Source organism: Homo sapiens, chromosome 20, assembly GCF_000001405.40.
Source record: "Homo sapiens chromosome 20, GRCh38.p14 Primary Assembly".
In the NCBI taxonomy this organism is placed as follows: Eukaryota; Metazoa; Chordata; class Mammalia; order Primates; family Hominidae; genus Homo; species Homo sapiens.
The window spans coordinates 55,459,792-55,481,959 of NC_000020.11; the positions used below are offsets into that span (position 1 = coordinate 55,459,792).

The 22,168-nt window shown below is 37.6% G+C and overlaps 1 annotated feature.

Moving 5' to 3' along the window:
* Positions 11,620–11,914: an enhancer, noted in NCBI's record as "tiled region #10667; HepG2 Activating DNase matched - State 5:Enh". NCBI's record gives its function as "activates a minimal TATA promoter and a strong SV40 promoter by Sharpr-MPRA in HepG2 cells {active_cell/tissue: HepG2}" and the evidence as "EXISTENCE:reporter gene assay evidence [ECO:0000049][PMID:27701403]".

Consider the following 22,168-nt stretch of genomic DNA (forward strand, 5'->3'; position numbering starts at 1 on the left):
ATATTAGAGCTACTTTTATCTAGTCTTTTATATGTTGAAAGGGTTTGAAGAATAACCTCTCTAGGAGCAACAATTATTTGGTAACGAAGTACAGAAACGCACTCTGGCTAGTTGAAGCTGAAGGGAATTTTTTGGACTATAAGGAAAGAAGGAAGCTGTCCCTAGAAACCCAGAATGATAGAATCACAGGCATGTTTTCATCTGGAAAGTAAACTGCATGGGCAACCACATTTGGGAAGACCTTCTACTGCTTCCAGATTTTCTGGTCATTATGCATTCCAGGGAGGAGCATCAAATCCCTGTAGCTTGAGTCACGTGCCCATCTTGATCTTACCAGAAAATAAAAAGAAGGACAGGGTGCAAGGACTCTTCAGAACTCCCTTTGTGTACCCTAACTCTTGCATGTAATAGGCCACTCTCCAACTAATGACTAGCATGTTTCCCCTTAGATAAAACCAGACTGCTGTTAGGGAAGGAAATAGATTCTAGGCTGCCTTAAAATAAATGTTTTTTTTTTTTTTTTTTGTCCTCCCCTTAGATCCTTTCTGCATAGCCTTTTGAATAAGGCAGTATGTTATTACTATCTACTGCACATGGAAATGGAAGTTGTTTGAGTTTAAGCAGACTATCCAAGTTCATGGTGCCATTAAGGAAAACAGACAAGACTAGAGACCATATTCTTGTGTCTTTTCTAGTAGTTTTCCTACTACACCCTTCTGAACAGACATTAATTTATTATTTGGTTTCTTTCAACTACAAATCACCTTATTTTTCCCTTTTCCTCTAAATCATTTTAGTGGATAACAAGCTACAGAGAAAGTCTGTGTATCACTGTCAAATCACCTTTTGGACAATATCACCCTGCCATGTTTCTGTCAAAATGAATCTGCAACATTGACGGGAGAAAAAATATATAAAGGAAATGTCCTCATTGTTCATTCAGGGACGGACTCAGCTGGAGGGAACCTTGGGAGGTGGCATCACCAGTGCAGACTGGATACAATTAGGAGATGCTGGATGCCTCTCTGTGTTCCTGGGCACATTTACACTCCCTTAAAAGAGCAATTTCACTTTGTCTCCATCCCAAGCTTTCATTCTACCCCTGCAGTTCACAGCCGTGGCAAACACTGAACACAATTTTATATTTGTATGTGTGGACAGTGTCTGTGACATATTGACCTTGCCTAAGATATGGAAGCCTGCGGCTCTTTCTTCTAAGTGTAGGGGAAGAAGCCACGCGGGTATGTACTGACATGGAATGAAAGAACTTCAGAAGCTGTTTACAGGGTTTCCTGAAATTCAGGAGAATGAAGCTTGAGACGTTTAAAATTCTCTTTATAGCTGATTTGAATTTGCTCAGTAGAACACAGATCCCAGAAAAGCCTATCTCATGACACCTATTCACACTGCTCTTTTGTGGGTAGAAAGGAATATCTCCTTTTCCCCTAACTCTGGAATTAAATTTCTGGGGCTTATGAGTTCCTAGGAGTGTGGGAGAAGGGTGTGGACTACAGTGTGTGCTAATTGTTATTATGATCATTCATCCATCTGACAAATGATGCCTAAGTGATATCTGACAGGAAGGCTAGTACTTACTTTCAGAAGTATACGCCCATGAGTTTTTAATCTCAGATATACTTAGACTCAGAAAATTCAGATATTTCTGTGTCCCTATTTGACAAACTTCCACCAGCATCCCAACAACAAGGTAAAGGAAGGGGGCTATAAAGGATGTTTTCTGAAAATACTTTGAGTCACCCCATTTGCTATCCAGCCATAAACAGAACCCTCAAGGCAGGGCTCCCCAACCCCCAGGCCATGGACTGGTACCAGTTTGTGGCCTGTTAGGAACTGAGCCACACAGCAGGAGGTGAGGGGTGGGCAAGCAAGCAAAGCTTCATCTGTATTGACAGCCGCTCCCCATTGCTCACATTACCGCCTGAGCTCCGCCTCCTGTCAGATCAGCCGCAGTATTAGATTCTCATAGGAACACAAACCCTATTGTGAACTGCGCACGATCTTGGTTGTGTCTTCTTTATGAGAATCTAATACCTGATGATCTGTCGCTGTCTCCCATCACCCCCAGATGAGACCGTCTAGTTGCAGGAAAACAAGCTCAGGGCTCCCACTGATTTTACCCTGTGGTGAACTGTATAATTATTCCATTATATACTATTTTGTAATATATAACATTTCTATTATTATTACATTGTAATATATTATTATTATGTTGTAATAATGTATTACTTGTAATACATTATGTTGTAATACTTTACATTACTTGTAATACATTACATTTTTACGTTGTAATAATGCATTACATTGTAATATATTATTATTATGTTGTAATAAGGTATTACATTGTAATAATGTATTACATTGTAATATATTATTATTATGTTTTAATAAGGTATTACATTGTAATAATGTATTACCTTGTAATATATTATTACATTGTAATAATGTATTTGTAATAATGTACATTGTAATATATAATTATATAATTACATGGGAATACATTATTATTACATTTGTAATATATTACATTGTTATATATTACATATATGATTACATGTAATATATATTACGTATAATATAATAAAATATATAATAATATAATAACATACATATAATGTATATTACTATATTGTTACATGTAATATATTGTTACAATGTAAATAATATATTACAATTTAATAATAATGGAAATAAAGTGCATAACAAATGTAATGCATTTGAATCATCCCAAAACCATCCCCCTAACCCCCTGGTCTATGGAAAAACTGTCTTCCATGAAACCAGTCCTTGGTGCCAAAAATGTTGGGGACCAGTGCCTGAAGGGACAAGTCCTGACTTGGATAAAGACAGGAAATTGCCACAAACATAGAGAGCAGTGGAGTGAAGATTTCTGATCTAGAAAAACAATGACAACAATAATTCAGTATTCACAGCCTGAGTAGATTTGGGTTGATTTGCAGAGCAGTTGGCCTAAGATCCTTTTGAGACCACCAGCCTAAATACTAGCTCTTTCCCCAGACTCACCTTACCACTCACTGGCCCCACATGGGTGAGGCCTTGAAAGTCATTTAACAAAGTACTTGGAACTGAAGGAACGAAAAACTAGAGCCGTGTGTCATTTTAACAATCTGTTATTTAGTCTCTGTGACACTTTTATTTTATCGTTGGTGGTTGATTTTTATTTTAAGATATATAAACTAAGATTCATTCATTTTTTAAGGTATGTAAAGAAAGATTCATTTTTTATGGTTTTGACAAATGCACAGAATCACGTATCCACCACCAGAGCAACGATATAGAAAATTCTCATCACTTCAAAAATTCCCGTGTTTCTGTTTTGTAGTGAATTCTTCACTCCACCATCAAACCTTGGCAAACACTATTCTGTTTGTTGTTGTTGTTGTTGTTTTCTGAGACGGAGTCTTGCTGCGTCGCCCAGGCGACAGAGAGCAGTGGCTTGATCTTGGCTCAGTGCAAGCTCTGCCTCCCAGGTTCACGCCATTCTCATGCCCCAGCCTCCCGAGTAGCTGGGACTACAGGTGCCCACCACACCACGCCCGGCTAATTTTTTGTATTTTTAGTAGAGACGGGGTTTCACCTTGTTAGCCAGGATGGTCTCGATCTCCTGACCTCGTGATCCGCCCTTCTCGCCCTCCCAAACTGCTGGGATCAGTTTATCTTTTAAAAGAATATCGTGTAAACAGAATCATACGTATGTAACTGTTTAAGTCTGGCTTCTTTCACCTGCACACAATGCATTTGATATTCATCCATGTTGTTGCATGTATCAGTAGTTTGCTTCTTTTTATTACTGGGAAGTATTCTGTTGCATAGAGGTACCATGTTTTCTACCCATTATGCAGTTGAGAGATAGTTTTCAGATTTTAGAGATTAAGAATAAAACTAACATAAACATTTCTGGATAGGTTTTTGTGTGAACATAGGTTTTTATTTCACTTTGATAAATACCTAGGATGGAAATTGCTAGATCAAAAGACAAGTATATATTTAACATTATAAAAAAACTTTTTTTCAAAGCCAATAGCCAAAATGTTTTTCAAAGTGGATGTGGCTATACCATTTTATATTTCCACTTGTGAAGAATGAGTGTTCCAATGAATCTGCACCTTATTCACATCTGAGTGTCATTCACATCTCAGAAGTGTCAGGTTGGTGGGTTATTTTTTTCTTTTTTTCCATTGTGTTAGGTGTGAAGTAGTACATTGTGGACTTCATTTGCATTTTTTTTTGTCACTAGTGATGCTAAGTAGCTTTCCATCTGCTTATTTGTCATCCTTATATTTTCTTAGTGAAATGTCTGTTCAAGTATTTTGCCCATTTCCTAACTGAATTATTTGCTTTCTGATTATTGGGTTTGAGAGTTCTTTATACCTTTTGCATAAAAGTCTTTCATCAGATTGAGTTTTGTGAATATTTTCTCCTAATCTGTGCCTTGCCTTCTCATTCTTGTTTCTTTTGAAGAAAAATCCAGTTAATTTTGGTGAAGTTCAATTTACCTATTTTTAAATTAGTCTATGAATCATGTCTTTGGTGTCATACCTAATAAATCTTTGCCAAACTCAAGGTCACAGAGATTTTCTTTCTTTTTTTTTTTTTTTAAGGAATGCTGTGCTTTTAGGTTTCATATTCAAGTTTATGATCTATTCTGAGTTACTTTTGTATAGGGTGCAAAATATTGGTAAAAACTCATTTTTTCCCATATTTCAGCATAATTTTTTGAAAAAACTATCTTGTCCCTAATTGCTTTTGCATCTTTAAGAGTCAATCAACTATAATTTGTGAGTCTATTTCTGACTTTTCTAATCTCTTCTATTGATCTATATGTTTATCCTTTCTCTACTATCATACTCTACACTCTTATTATTTAACGATGTTCTGCATTTATAGTATCCTTAATTGGAAAATCAAAGGTATTTTTTCCCTAAAAATTTATCATTTTTACTGCATGCATTTTTAAAGGGTAATTTACTCTCTTTGTTCACTTTTTTGTTAATTTTTACTTTCAAAATTCATAAGCCAACCAGTTTGAAAAAGCCACATACTGTATAATTTCATTTATGTGATATTCTGCAAAAGGCAAAACAGTTTAGTAAACAGATCAGTAAAAGATAAATAGAGCAGAAGTTTTTGGGAGTCAAAGGAGAAATGATAAAACAGGTGAAGCATAGTTAATTTTTTTACAGGGAGGTGAAACTATTCTATATGATGCTATAATGCTGAATACATTATACTATGTGTTTGTCAAAAATCCATAGAATTTTATAGTACTAAGAGTCAGCACTAATTTATGCAAACTGAAAATAAAGTATTTAAGGGACCAGGGACTCTCAGGATGGAATATAAACTGTGACGAATAAATATAACTGTATGGCAAATATGTAAAACAAATTTCCTGAAGTGGGAGAAAAAGGTGCCGATCTAAGTAAATCTGGAAAGGAGTAGAATCTATAAGATTAAAGGCAGAAAGAACTTCACATAAGCACTCTAGTTGGTAAAGATGTTTCCCGCAGAGGTGAGAGTTAACAATTCTGAAACCTCCATACGTGTCTGGAATTGAATGATTAAGTAAATGAATGGCAGATGGGTTTCTCATCGTTGGAGGGGGCAGTTACAGAAAAACAAGTGAAAAGACTAGAAAGATCCATGTGGTAATAGAGTTGGAGTCATTAGTGTGAACTCATGTTTAGCTAAATGTGGATATTGATGGTTACATACAGAAATATTGATAGGTATGTGTATATGCACAGATTAGTATATACACATGTATCTACTGATAGGGCCTAAACAACAAAACCCTTGCAGCAATGAGCGCATCTAGTGCCCAGAATTTGGTCTCTAATTCCATTCTCTAATAAAAGGACCCGGGGCTTAATGAAAAAAATGGTTGATTCTAGGACTGGAACAGAAAATGAGCCTGGAGAGCCTCGTGGTGCTATAAAGAAAAATAGATAAACAAACAATAAAAAACCCTCACTGATGGGATAAGTCAAAGAGACGTAGGAGTCACCTGAACAAGCTCTCAATGGCCAAAACTAAAAAATTTAAGCATCAAAATAAAGTCGTCCTGAACGAGCTCTCAATGGCCAAAACTAAAAAAATTAAGCATCAAAATAAAGTTGTACTGGATCCCAACCTAAAGTATAAAACCAATATGCATGATATATACTGGCACAAATAAATGATCAAAAAAATGCATAGGGGAGAATAAGCAAATCTTCTATGCAGAAGAATTCTAAATAATTTGTTTGTCCTTAAGAAGGTAAAACTTAATTCCCCATGCTTTAAGTGTGGGCTGAACATAGTGACTTTCTTCCAAAGAGTTCACTATGGAAAGGAGGAAAAAAAAAAATGACTCTACAGTGAAGAAATCTGACAAACACTGCCTCAGCCTGGCAATCAAAGTTAACAATAGCAGTAATCAGTCATGTTGATATTATGAATCCTTGGCCAGGCATGGTGGCTCACGCCTGTAATCCCAGCACTTTGGGAGGCCGAGGCGGGCAGATCACCTGAGGTCAGGAGTTCAAGACCAGCTTTGGGCAACATGGTGAAACCCTGCCTCTACTAAAAATACAAAAATTAGCTGGTCTTGGTGGTGCTTGCCTGTAATTGCAGCTACTTAGAAGGCTGAGACAGGCGAATCGCTTGAACCCAGGAGGCAGAAGTTGCAGTGAGCCGAGATCGTACCACTGCACTCCAGCCTGTACAACAGAGCAAGACTCCATCTCAAAATAAATACACACACACACACACACACACACACACATAAATCCTTGACCAAAATAAATACACACACACACACACACACACACACACACACACACACACAAATCCTTGACATAATGTGATGAGAAGGGTGCTTCACCTCTGGAGTCTTCTTCCAATACACTATAGCCCCAATCTAATCATGAGTAAAGCATCACATGAATCCCCATTGAGGGGATATTCTTAAAAAGTACTTGACTAGTAAACCTCAAACATTTCAGAGTTATCAAAAGCAAGGAAAGTTTGAGAAGCTTTCACAGCCAAGAAGAGCCTGAAGAGACATGATAAACAAATAAAATGGTGAATCCTGGATGCAGCCCTGGAAAAACAACAAAGCGACCTCAGGTAAAAACTAAGGAAATGAATATAAGGTATGGGTTTTAGTTAATAATGCTAATCAATATTGATTAATTAATTGTGACAAATGTACTATACAATATGAACTGTAAGAACTGGGTGTGGGGTATATGGGAACTCCCCGTATGAACTTTAAATTTTTATAAATCTAATTCTAATCTAAAACAGAAAATTTATTTTAAAAGCAAAAAATGAATCAGAAGCTTTTCTACTTCAGTTGTAAAAATGAGACTCCAAAGAGGTTTCATCTCACTTTCCTTCATTAATCTAAAATTTCTAAAACTGTTTGCTTGGAAGGATTATGAGGCTAGGTTCTATCTCAAGGGCAATAATGCCACATCTTCCATGGGCTCAAGCAAAAGGGCAGTGGCATGCTGCTGTGGCAGACCTCGGTGCACAGGGGAAAAATGACCACACATTGTTTTGTTTGTTTTGGTATTTAATTGATTGACCAACAGAATGTGGCAGACGTGATAATCTGGGTCTTTTGAAGACAAGACCTAACAAGGCTGCAACCTCTAGAATCCCTTAGAACAGACAGTCTAAGCACATTGTCTGTGGGGACTGAAATTCCTTGTAGTAAGAAGCCCCAGACCCACAGAGAAACCAGGTGTAAGTGCTCAGTTGACAGCCTCAGCTTAGCTCCCCACCAATAGCCGGCAAGTCTGGACAGGACACATTTGTGAGCCATTGGGTACCTCCATCCCAACTGAGCAGTGAATCTTAGAGATGGCTCCTGTTCTGATCACCATCTAATGGCAAATGTATGGGAGAATCTGGGTGGCAACTCCCCAAGCTGAGCCCAGTCCATCTACAAAATTATGAAGATTAATAATAAATGGTTGTTACGAGGCACTGAGATTCAAGATGGTTTATTATGTAGCAGTAGATATTCAGAACACTCTACTAAGTGCTGCGGCTCCAAACTAAATTTTCTAAGAGCACTCCATGTACAAACAAACAACTACAAAAAAAAGCAAACGTTTGCCATGTGCCTCTTATTTGCAAGACATGGTTCAGCACCTGTAACTTGAAGCCTTAGTGCTATCACCCACAGAAAGAAAGCATCTCTCAAGTAACCATTGTGAAATATTTCAAAAGAGCCACTGGTAGTAAAATTTATGTCTTCTTTTTAAAGGTTATGTCTTCTTTTATAAGACTACCCACTGCCTCTTCTCAAGTATATCTGAAGTATGGCTGGTTGGAGTATATCAGGACCCTCAGAGGAGAAAAGCATATAAAACCAGCACACCTGAACCCAGGTAAATGGAAAGACCCTCATTATTATCTTTACCAAATATTGACACTTTGCATTAATTTAGATTTAACAGACTACTAAGGGCTTTGTCTCCCCACCTAAATCTCATCTTGAATTTAATCCCCATAATCCTCATAATCTCCACATGTCAAGGGAGAGACCAGGTGGAGATAATTGAATCATGGGGGTGGTATCCCCTATGCAGTTCTCATAACAATGAGTGAGTTCTCACGAGATCTCATGGTTTTATAAGGGGCTCTTCCCCTTTTACTCGACGCTTTTCCTTGCTGGACCCTGTGAAGAAGGTGCTTTGCTTCCTCTTTGCCTTCCTCCATGATTGTAGGTTTCCTGAGGCTTCCCAAGCATGCTGAACTGTGAGTCAATTAAATCTTTTTCCTTCATAAATTGCCCATTCTTGGGCAGTTTCTTTATAGCAGTATGAAAATGAACTAATACAACTAATAGTAAGCTTCTAATGCAAGATGACATTTCTAAAAATTATTTTACAGAAAAGATTCGTTATGAATCCGCCAAGACACCATACTGTTTTAAATCTGAAGTAAAAGTTAGTCTCAACAAGTTATTGTATCTTGTCTGCATGAGTTTGTCATTAAATGATTCTGAAATGCAATGAAAATGGAAACATATTGCTTAATGAGAATGATTTTATCAATACCTGCCTTTTCTTTTAAATTGCTTTCACTGTTTAATAAAAGAGGAATAAAATTATATGAAATGTATGCCAGTAACTCAAAGGAAGGGGTGAGATGCTCTGTGCATATAACTTTGGGAAGGAGTGATATACCAGCAAGGAGTCAAATGTCTTAACTCTGTCCCAGGTTAACTCAGAGCCAGGCATCAAGGGAAGCATGCAGGTGAGTGATTAGAAATTCTCGTCACCTGGAGTGGATGCCTAGCTCTGCTGCTCACCAGATTTGTGACCTAAGGGTTGTAAGCTGTCAGAGATTCATTTGTGAAATAAGGTATAATAGCACTGGCCTTAGAGACCTGTTGGGGGTTAAAATGTGATTAAGCTTTTAAAGTGGTTGACATAATCTATCTGTCTACCATGTACTAAGCAGTGGTAAACACTGGCCTCTAATTGTTAAAATGACCTTGAATCTCTGCATCAGATTCTGTGCCTGGACTTCTCCTATTCCTTTCTCTTCAGGAAAGACACCATTGTTCACAAACAATTTCAGTTCATTGAGAATCAGAATAATTCCTCTGACCCGTCTGCTTTTGAAAATCATAATCTTGGAGAAGTGACGAGCATAAACATCTGTAGGGATTAGTGATCATGGTCAAGTTATTTAACCCATATGTGCCTCATATTTTCATCCATAAAATAGGGATAATATAGTACCTATCAGACGAGGCAAATAGGATCGAATAACATGATACATGTGTAGAACCTAACGCAGTGTCTGACACATAGGAAGCATTCACTTTGCCATTATTATGTTTTAATCATTTTTATTAATGTAAAATATTTTCATTAGGCATATCATTAGTAACCTCATGTCCTGATATCTTTGCTACTAGTCTTTTTCCTAGCCATTCATTCTTTCATAAGGTGTACATGAGGGTAACACAATGAAAACACTATTAATAGGGTAATAGAGGACACTGAATGTCTCTTAGAGGGAATATTGCTTTAGTTTTTAGAACCTCTCTCTATCACCCAAGCTGGAGTGCAGTAGCGCGATCTCCTCTCACTGCAATCTCTGCCTCCCAGGTTCAAGGGATTCTCCTACCTCAGCCTCTAGAGTGGCTGGGACTACAGGCACACCACCAAACCTGGCCAATTTTTGTATTTTTAGTAGAGACGGGGTTTATGTTGGCCAGGCTGGTCTCGAACTCCTGACCTCCATCCGTATTGTGGATACTCCCAAAGTGGTAGGATTACAGGCATGAGCCACCACGCCCAGCCTATATTGCTTTATTAGTAAAGTTATTTTTAAAACCATGTGGAGTGTCGGGTGAAATATTGGGAATGTGTCTAATGGTTCTCAAGCAACAAGGTGAGATATTAAATGCTTTGCTCAAGAGGTTATGGAGAATTTCCCCCAAAAGTGAAGAGGAGAGAGTCAGAAGGTCCAGGAAGGGAGGGAAATAGAAAAAAATTGATTGTGAGAGACTGCAGGATGGGAGCCAGTATGGGGTGGTTGAGGATTTTCTAAGAATAGGCATAATCACTTTTAAGTTTTCTGCTTCATTGAAAGTTCCTTCTCTACCCATCAAGTAGTTCCAACCCATCATAAGAAAGTCTGTTTTACTCATGAATGTGTTAAACCTGTGGGAGCTTTTATGTATGGTCATTAAGAAAGTTAATATCCTGGATGTGGGGACGGGTTGTGAGCAAAAAATGACACACATCTAGAAATTGGAATTCCGGAAGCAGGGGTCACTCTGCCTCATTCCTTACCCAGTGCAGAATGTATAGAAAACGTTGAGAGTCTTCAACATGTCCACAAAGCATGGAATGGAAGACTCAAGCCAGTGTGAACTCACCATCATGTGTTTGTGCCCAGTCTAGGAACTGGCACATTTTTTAAAAAATGAATATATGAATGAATGAGATCACAGCTGACATCCGGGTTACATTTCATCTCAGGCATTATATATGTAAGCAGTATTTACTTGCAAGCTGTTCAGGCATCATTCTCAAAGTTCTCTGACTGAACTCTTTAGCTCATTGAGAATGTGAGTGTACTAAACTAGACTGGTTGTACATTTATTATGCCCAAATTTTATTCATTTAATGTACTTTTCCTAAATTCTACGATGCACTGTTCCAGGTACACAATGTCTTTGCCTTTTTGGATCTTTCATGGTAGGTGGATAAAACAGACCATAAGCTTTTAACAAACAAAAGTATTTCATATAGCGCTATGAAGAATGTCAACCAAGGTGTTTGGTCAGGGAGGATCTCAGCAGGGAATTGGATAAGAAGACCTGTTAGTGAAGATGGTCAGATAATTCTTCTCTGAAAAGACTTTTGGGTTGAGGTATAAATTATGACATAGGACACGGGATAATTTGGCAGTACAACTTTCTATGTGAAGGGCTGTGATGAGTGAGGCTGATGGAATAAGAACAAGATAAGTGTGCAGGCTTCAATGGGAGATGGTTGAATGAGATTTGGAGAGGGGTCAGTAAAAATTTGGATTTTATTCGGAGAGCAACGGGAAGCCTTTGGAAGGTTTAAACACGAGAGTGGTATGATTCATTATAAGAGTATTTGTTTTACAATAAACAATGCTCATCTCCTCTGTTATCTCATTTAACCATCACCACAAACATGAACTCTAAGCTTTAGTATCAGGAATGCAACTGGAGCTCAGAGAGGATATTTGCTCTATCCAAGGTCATTTGGGTAAAAGGGAAAATTGAGGATTTTGCAGGATGGCCAGCAAGCATTGGCTGCCTCTCAACTGGAGCTCTCTTTGTTTAATAATTGATGGAAGGGAAAAGAAACCTTTCTAAAATTGCTGCTAAAAGACACAATGTAGCAGAGTGATTTTTTTTTCAATACTCTCTGCAAAGTAAGCTAAAACTCATCTTTCCAATGAGCATGAGTATAATGCCTTTCCTGATTTTTTTCCAAGTCTGTCTTTTACCCACGGTCTTTGCTGAGCATGCATGTGCAACTCCCTACCAGCTTCTAAGGCTTTAGCTGATGACCTGCAATCTGGAAAAGGATCGAGAGATCAGAGTGGAGGGAATGCTGAGGGGATGTAGGAGGTACCAGAAAGGGGTGATCCACACAGCAGGCTTCAGACAGCCTGACTCAACAACAACAGAGCTGTGTATAAAGGTCTTTGCAATGTTTAGCTTTATGTGAAATCAAGTTATATACTGTGATGAAACATCTACCAGTTTCTAGAGTCAATATATTTAAAATTAGTTTCAATATGACTGATACACATTGTTTGGTTTATGTAGACTTCACTTCAGTGGTATTATAGTGTATGTATTTTAAATATTTCATTACATTTTATGCTGTTTCATGATATTTTTCATGTAATGCTCTGAATTTTATATGAACTCTGAAAGAAAACTTTACCTCATTTACATAGTATAGTTGATCTTTCTTGTAATTCAGGATTTGAGAACTTACTCCAAAATTATATTAAAAGTAAACACAATAAAAACACACTTTAAAGACTGGTAGCATTAACACACTAAAGATATTTTGATTTTAAAAATCAATTAACTAAATACAATAGAGTATACCTAAATATCAGAAAAATATTGTTTCCTCTTGTCCTTACCTACTTCTCCTCCTGGGCAATATTATTCACTTCATTGTCAATGAACCAGTATCTGTCAAATTTCTTCTAGACACCAAGCAGGATGCTAGGTGGTGTGTAGACATTGGTGGGTAAAACAGACATAGATCCTATGGGGACAAAGGGCAATATATAGACAATAAAGAAAAAAACTTACAAGTAAATAAATGAATATACCATTACAAATTGTGTCAAGTGATGGCATGTAGCAGAAGAAAATGACAATACCAAAATGAAGGGATGGCATATACTGTCGTCTCCCTTATATCCGATTTCTTCCTTTTCCTTAGCAATAGCACTAATTATTGTTGTTTGGGGGCAGTGGGATGCTAGTGGTGATGGTGAAATTATATCCGACTTAAAAGAACTACATTTCCCAGAATCCCTTTCAACTAGGCATGGTCTGTAATACAGATCTGACCGATCAGGTAGAAGGAGATGGAAACATTGCTTCCTAAGAGGACTACATCCTCAGTGGTTCCTTTCTTTTATCAATTAGGAACATGGACAGGACTCTGGAGTGTGGTCATCCTGTGACCATGAGGCAAGGAGCATGAAGCAGAGTGTAAAGGAATCTGAACTAACCCTGGGCTTCTTGTTATGTGGGGGGGGGGGGGGGATTATACAGCAAATTTACTTAAAAATGTGTATTAGTCAGATTTTTAGTTACTCATGGGTAAATGCAATCCCTAATTAAGGGTGTGAAGTGAGTGCTGAAACTTGCTTAGGAAAAGAGGTGGAAAAATTGGATGGGAATTAAGCATAGAGGTACCACGAAGTATCTGAAATTGTTTGGTTATGTCTGTAGACAAATCAAATGCTTAAACAAAATAAACTGAAATTTTCAACACATGCACACACAGAGTCCTCATACTTTTAGATTTTTAGTTTAAAAAATAAGTATTTGGCACACATCCGTATTCACACAACTCTTTTAGGCATCTACTTCCCTTTACCTGTGCAGGCCTATACGTTTAATGAGCAGAATAAAAAATATCCATTCCTTAGGCTAAGGTTTCATTTTTACATTGGACTAAAATAGTTCCCAGCTTTGGTTTGCAATATTAGAAATCTGGGGAGGTTTGAAATAATACTCAGCTCCAGGCCTCAAGCAAGACCAAATGAACCTTAGAGATTCTAATTCAGTAGGTCTGGGTACCTTGGGAGGGGTCTGGGCATTAGTATTTTTTTAAAAGCCCCTTAGGTGATTCTATAAGGTCAGGTTTCAGAACCACTGATCTAAAGGAATAAACTTGAGTCTGGCTGTCCACATACCTAAATCACCCCAAAGTGCAGTAAAGTGCAATAATACAGTGGCTCAGAACGTCCTTTATTTCTTCAGCAAGAAAATCTCCATTCCAGTGTTAAATTCGCCAGTAAATGATTGGGTGATTTTGAGCAAATTATTGAATCTTCTAAGCCTCTTTCCTCATTGAAGACTAAATGAAATAGATGCTGCGCACCTACCAAGATAACACTGTATTATTTGTGGGAAGTTGTGCTAGCTGAGTTTTTCAATCACTATTTGCAAATTAGCAGGGGCTCCAAATATTAAAACCATGCAATATGGTTAAGATCTATGTAAGTACAATGAAATTTCTACATCCAACACAATCACACAAACATGACTGGATTTTCAGTGTTTGGAAGATACTTTGAGGATGAATTCACTTAAAATGTAGACAACATGTCAGGCAAAAATGGACTTTTTGAGTTCTGTGGAGACACTCAGTAGAATCCAAGGCATGTAAAACTGAACAGTCAGAAGCCTTTGTAAATGCATTTGAAAGAGACAAGTCATGTTTATTAAGATGCTATGAAAAAATGAAAACAAAACTTAATGACTTCATATATGAGCTTCCAATTTTTTAAAAAAAGCCTCTAGGGTAGGCCCACCTAGTTGCAGGCTCTGATTTGCAAGAATGCTGCTCTTTACAGGACACATTTGTGTAGCTGCTCCCCGGTGGGTCACAGCAGGAATGTTATTTACTTAACCATGGGGAATGGTTTTTCAGAGCAACCCCCAAGGAAGCCAGAAAGTAAAAATGTCTTCATTATATAATGGTATCATAGTCTTAGAGTTAGAACAAATGCTTAATACCATCTACTCTGAGCTGTTTATTTTCCAGATTTAAAATCTATGGCCTGTATGTTAGGTGCCTCTGTTAACACATTCTAGGAGGTTGATGGAGGGCAACTGCAAGCCCTTAAGTTGAAGTTAATTCTAGTCCCCTCTGTGTTTCTCTTTGAGCCGTGCTGTCCAGTGTGGCAGCCACAGGCCACACAGGGCTTTTGAGTTCTTGAAATGTGGCTAGTTTGAGTTGAGATGTACTGTAAGTATAATGTACACATCAAATTTCAAAGACTTAGCATCTGGCTGGGTGCTATGGCTCATGCCTGTAATCCCAGCACTTTGGGAGGCTGAGGCCGGCAGATTACTTGCGGCCAAAAGTTTGAGATCAGCCTGGCCAACATGGCAAAACCCTGTCTCCACTAAAAATACAAAATTTAGCCAGGCCTGGGGGCATGCGCCTGTAATCCCAGCTACTCGGGAGGCTGAGGCAGGAGAATCACCTGAACCCGGGAGTTGGAGGTTGCAGTGAGCTGAGATCATGCCACTGCATTCCAGCCTAGGTGACAGTGAGACTCGACCTAAAATAAAAAAAAGACTTAGCATCAAAGAAAAAAAAAGAACAATATCATTAATTCTTTTTTCTGATTACATATTGGAATGACAATATTTGGGATGTATTAGGTTAAATAAAATATATTAAAATTAGTTTCTACATTTTACTATTTTAAAAAACGCAACTACCAGAAAATTTAAGTAACATCTATGGCTCACATCTAATTTCTTTTTTATTTTTTATTTTATTTTTCTGAGACAGAGTTTTGTTCTTGTTCCTCAGGCTGGAGTGCAATGGCGCAATCTTTGCTCATTGCAACCTCCATCTCCCGGGTTCAAGCAATTCTTTTGCCTCAGCCTCCCGAGTAGTTGCGATTACAGGCATGTGCCACCACGCGTGGCTAATTTTGTATTTTTAATAGAGACAGGGTTTCACCATGTTGGTCAGGCTGGCCTCAAACTCCTGACCTTGGGTGATCTGCCAGCCTCTGCCTCCCAAAGTGCTGGGATTACAGGCATGAGCCACTGCGCCCGGCTTTCACATCTAATTTCTATTGGACAGTTTTAACTTAGATTTCCTATGACAAAGTAAGTAAGGTAACCAGAAACACAAAAAGATTGACAGTCATGTAAAAGTTAAAAAGATGTGGTCAGAAATAAAGGGAGAGAGGGATCATGGAATAAACGGGTGTGAATTGGTGTAGTCAGGTATGAAATCCTAAATATGTTCTCAATAAGGGGCTACTAGCTCATCTTTTAGAAACATGGAAAATTCACTGAAGGAAAGGGAATGGAAGCATCTCATTCAGTGTTTTCAGGGGCAAGACCTCAACATTTAGAGGCTACCAGCTGTTCTCCTTTCGAGGTGTCTTTCTTATTCTATAGGGAAAAAAAACTATTACATATATGTTATAAGCCCTGAATTGCATGCTGACAAATAGGTTTCTCTATAGCTTAAGGATATAGGCAAAATTTTAGTAAAGGTAAGTTATTTTTACCTGAGACATGCCTAATAATGGTATATATTTTCATATATTTTCTCTTTTTTAAATCATACAGCAAAATAACTTTTTGTATGTCTTCTAATACACACACTTATAGGTAATAGCAGCAGACTTAGTAAATGTGATACTGTAGATTGGGCCACTCACTGCTCAATACAGAGTTTCTTGTGTATAGTTATAGCTAATAGTTTTCATTTTTGATGGAGATTTGTCAGATTTGTGTGTGGAGGTGGGTTGGGGGCGGTTAGAGACAAGGTCTTACTCTGTTGCCCAGATTGGAGTAGAGGGGTGTGATCATAGCTCACTGCAGCCTCAAACTCCTGGGCTTAAGCAATCTTCCTGTCTCAGCCTCCCAAGTAGCTAGGACTACAGGCATGAGCCACCACACCTGGCTGATTATTTTTTCTTTTGTTGTTGTTATTTTTTTTGGTAGGGATAGGATCTCACTCTGTTGCCCCGTCTAGCCTTCACTCTTGGCCTCAAACAATCCTCTTGATTCAGCCTCCAAAATATTTCTATCAGGTTTAAGATGGAAATGGAAATGCCTACCATTACTCATTTTGCATTGCAATAAATAAGCTTCATTACCAGTGGAAGCTTATTAATTTCTTTGTGGAAATGCATTCCTTGCTGATTAATTTCCCCTTTCCTTCATTTTTAAACTGCAAAAGATTTGTTTCAAAACCCAAAGATTAGGTATATTTCATTCTTTATTGAGCAAGTAACAAAAGAAAATACATTCACATTATTCAGGAAGCAATCATGAAGATACTTTATAGCTCATTTGTATCAATATCAAACTAATTTAATGACAAGTCAAACATCATGCCCTTTAATCATGGAAAACTGTAAGGTATTTCAGCTGAATAAATTAAGAGCAATTAACAAAAAAATGAGCTACACACATGAAGCTCATTATTTTAGGTTGAGGGATCCTTTCAATTTACCGGGATTATTTTCTTTGATGTGCCAGATGCCTGTTTTGCCCAACAAAAATCAAAACACTCCAAAGCATAAAAGTATGTACCCCATGTGTTGTTTAAGATGGACTTGATAACTAACATTGGACATTAACATTTGCAGCTATTATTCCTTGGTGAATAAATATTCCTTGTCCAAAGGAAAGATAGAAATATTCAAAATAATAAAATAAAACAAATCGGATTCAACTGTACAATTCATGCTGGAAAATTAGCTAAGATTAGGAAGAAAGAGGTTGAACATTGGTCACAAGTTGTCTGATAAAAGGCACAGATAAATGACATGCTGCTAGTCTTTTGTATTAGACAAAGAGAAACATGTTTCATACATCTGCTTGCTTTGAGCAGAAATCTTTTCTAAGCGTGTATAAATTTTCTAAAATTTTTCATAAAATATGTAAATATTTAGTAACACTGCCTCAGTGTTCCAATGGTTATACCAATGATATTTTTCAATGTTGGTTTTTAATGCGCCTATTAAAGGAAATTCAGGTAATTACTATCTTTTTCTTTTGCCAATGAATGAGATCAATAGCATGGATAATCCAAAACAGTGGGTGAATTTAAAAATAAATTGGATTCTACGGTGCACCATACTCTTGGTCATGTTTATACACATGGATTAGTGTTATGTGTATATGTGTTGAAATGAAACATCTTATATGTACACGTTAAAGTGTTTGCATTTCCTGAGATGTGACAATCAATCATTGTAAGGACAGAAATCTTGGAAACATTTTGGGTAACTAATATGTGTCTGCCATTTATTCAGATTTTCCAAAAATATTCTTGGAGCATCTTTTACCATTATAGGCTATTAGGATGTAGTCATGATTAAAATAGTCTACTTGAATTATATCCAGAAGGTAGAGCTGTTAAAATTATAAATAATCATCATGACAATGTTAGATTCTTAGAATACATAGAGCAGCAATGGCATTATTTCCCAACATAAGCCCCAGTTGGGACAGCCTCTCTGAGGAAGTGATTTTGTTTTTCTTAACTGTTTATTTTGAAAACATGTCAAATCTACAGAAAAGCTGCAAAAATGGTATAATGAACTCCCATATTTCCTCCACTTTGCTTAACCAATTGCTAACATTTTGCCCTCTTCTGTATGTCTCTATCTCAATTTTGTTGTGAACCAATTAAGAGTTACAGGCATCTTGACCCTTCTAAATCCTTCAGCCTGTGTTTGCTAAGAACAGTGCCATTTGGAGCATCACCATGACACAATATTACATTTAAGGCATTTAACATTAATACAAAACTAGAATCTCAAAGCAATCCATATTCTAAATTTGCCAATTGACCCAGAACTGTCCTTTTTAACAGGAGGAAGTGAATTTGACTAATAACCAAATGTTGAGCCCGACATAGCCTCATAAAAGGGATTTATGGGAATCAAGAAAGAAGGAACAGAAAATCCAAAGACATCTACATATTTGTATACATTTATTTTAAAAAGCATAGACCTAGCCAATATTCTTGGGATAATATTAACAATAAAATGTGGCTTGAAATAGGCTAATTAAAAATGTTTAGTGTAAAATTACATGTAATAACCTTGTAAAAATTGATACTCACATATTATTTCTATTTGGTTTTCCTCCATTTTACCCATGTACTCTTTATTTGCTTCTTGATAAAGTCAGTTAAAGCAATCTGCCACATAGCTCCATGTGTGAGATTTAGGAAAATTGTTGCCTGCAGAATTTCAAATATGGATATGAGGCATTTGGAAGCAATTTCTGATAAGAGAGTACCATAAATTGCTACCCTAAAGTACATTGGTCACATTACCCAACCAAATGTTTTTACTTAAACAAGATTCAGAGGGAGGAGGGATGTATTCACCACAAAACTTAATGGACTACAGTGCCATTACTTATTAAATAGACCTATTTATATGAAAAATGAACACTTAATGTATACATGCAGATAATGTAATCCCCTTTATCTTATCTATATACATGGAAGATTCTTATTACCATCAATCTGGTGGTCCCTTTTTGCTCATTCCATTTGCTTGAGAACTGTGTCTGGATTAATAATGAGTATATTTCCCAAAATGAGCATAGACAGAAGGCAAACTGGCCCTTTCCCAAGGACAAAGATAATCTCTCTAGGACTTTCAGAGGGACCAAAAGTCAGTTGGCCCTCATTGGGATCATGGAAAGTTTTTAACATCCTTCGTGTCCAGCAGAGGAACAGCCTGAATGTCTGGTTCTTTCTAACCTTTTAAAATGATAAAATAAATCCAAAGTATTATAGGCCATCTGGTACTTACAAGGCAACGTCTCCAGATAAGTCTGAGCAAAGGGCAGGCATATTACTCCCCTTGGGAGAGCATTTTGGTTATATTCATTCTATTTCTCTTGCTTGATCATGACCAAAGATATCACAAAAACCTCCTCTACTGATACAGTCCCCTTTTTTCACTCTTGAAATTGTCGTTATTCTTAATTATTGTCTAGATTACATATTTTTTAAAATTATCAAAATAAAAGCAAAGGTGATGATAACTCTAAAAGATATGTCACATACATATTTTAAATCTTACAGACATTTATTGCAGCATTGTAAAAACCTACAAAATGCCCAAAAGACCAACAAGAATAGAATGAGTAAATAAATTAACTTAATAAATATTAGCGAGATTAGTCATATTAAAGGGGAACACAGATGATACACACCTATGCCAAAGGAGGGCCATGATTTACAGAGTGAGGGGGAAAGAATACAACAAAACAAAAACCAGATAGCCAATTGCAAAATTAGAGTAGTCCTTTATTTTAAAAAGAAAACAAGCACTGTATGTGCTTATGTGTGTGCCAGTGCATGGTTATTTATATGTATGTATACACGTGTATGTGTGTATAGGTCTGTCTGTGTATAAATGAAGGAAGTCTGGACAGACACCAGCTAAGCTGTTGAGAGGAGTTCTCTAACCTGAATATGCCACTTAAAAAATAAAAAGCTGTATTAGTCTATTCTCACACTGCTATAAAGAACTGCCGAAGACTGGGTAATTAATAAAGAAAAGAGGTTTAACTGACTCACAGTTCCGCGTGGCTGGGGAGGCCTTAGGAAACTTAGAATCATGGCAGAAGGCACCTCTTCACGGGACAGCAAGAGAGAGAATGAGTGCCGAGCAAAGAGGGGAAAGCCCCTTATAAAACCATCAGATCTCATGAGAACTCACTGTCACAAGAACAGCATGGGGGTAACTGCCCCCATGATTCAATTACCTCCCACCAGGTCCCTCCCATGACATGTGGGGATTATGGGAACTATAATTCAAGATGAGATTTGGGTGGGGACACAGCCAAACCGTATCACAGAGATGTAATCGTAAGGTGATAATATGATTTGGCTCTGTGTCTCCACCCAAATCTCATGTCCAGTCGTAATCTCCATTGTTGGAGGTGGGGCCTGGTGGGAGGTGATTGGATCATGGGGGCAGTTGCTAACGGTTTAGCACTGTCCCTGTAGTGCTGTTTCATGATATAGTTCTCAGAAGTTCTGGTTGTTTAAAAGTGGCACTGCTCCCCTCTCTCTCCTGCTCCAGTCATACGAGACGTACCTGCTTACCATTCGCCTTCTGCCATGATTGTAAATTTCCTGAGGCTTCCCCAGCCATGCTTTCTGTACAGCCTGTGGAACCATTAGCCAATTAAGCCTCTTGTCTTTATAAATTACCCAGTCTTGGGTATTTCTTTATAGCAGTGCGAGAATGGACTAGTACAGTTAGTATAAAGAGCTGGCAGTTCAGCAAGTACCCAGTCTAGCCCCGTGTTCTTGGAACATGTGCCTTATTAAATAGGCAGTGAAAATTGAATCCAGATTAAGCTCCCTGAGTCTTTTAAGAAATGGTAATTTGGCCAATTATTTAATTTAAATTAAACAAAAACAGCACAATACCACCCACCTACTTTCCTCTTAAACATTTGGATATTTTAGCACAGAAAATCTGAGATGATTTAATTACCTCACTTGCATGTTGTTGACAACTGAAGATGAGATGACATTCATTTAAATTCTAAGCTTAATTTATTCCAGGCCATGTTTTTACCAATTTTCATTAATGGTAATGTAAGAAAAGGTTCAAAACTTATAAACTAGATTTTCACAAAACTAATTTTGAGTTGAAAGTTGGAGTATAATCTCATCATTGGGTTACTGGAGAGTAGGGCAAAGAGAAAGACACTGACTAGTTGTGACTATTATTCTTTTTTGTACCACTTTTTCTGTGGATACTTGTGTAGTTAAGTATGACTTCTAAGGTTGCCTTCTGCTGCCTTTTGGTTGTTTTCCAAAGCTTAGAACAGGACAAGAGGAGTCCTTATGATAGGAATCCTATTCTAAGTAAAGTTCTCACCAGCTGTGCGGACATTATGACCCTGGAGGTTCTGCCAGAGGTAGTTCATTGCTCACATATTACTTGCATAAGATTCTAGCTACATGAAGGGCTGGTAGATCAGGCTATTGGAGGGAGAACAGTAGCTGTGCTGTGTATTTTATAACCGCACACCACAATGGAAAAATAAAATAAGGTGCGTCTTTTTTACCTTCAGCCAACTGAGACGAAGATTTTCTTAAAAGGACCATTTTGGGAACTAGACCTATGCCCTCCTTAAGTTTGGGGAACACAGGAGTTAGTATCTGATGTTCAATGGAAGAATCTAAAGAGGAAGGGAGAGGGTAATAGAGCAAAGAGAACAAGGTGCATTGCAAGCTGACTGTACCTTCATTAAATGTAGAGCAAGAGAGTGTGGACCAGACATTGCCTGCCATGCCCGAAGGGAGCTGTTCCAGGGCTGTCTTCGAAGAGACCCAGCCAA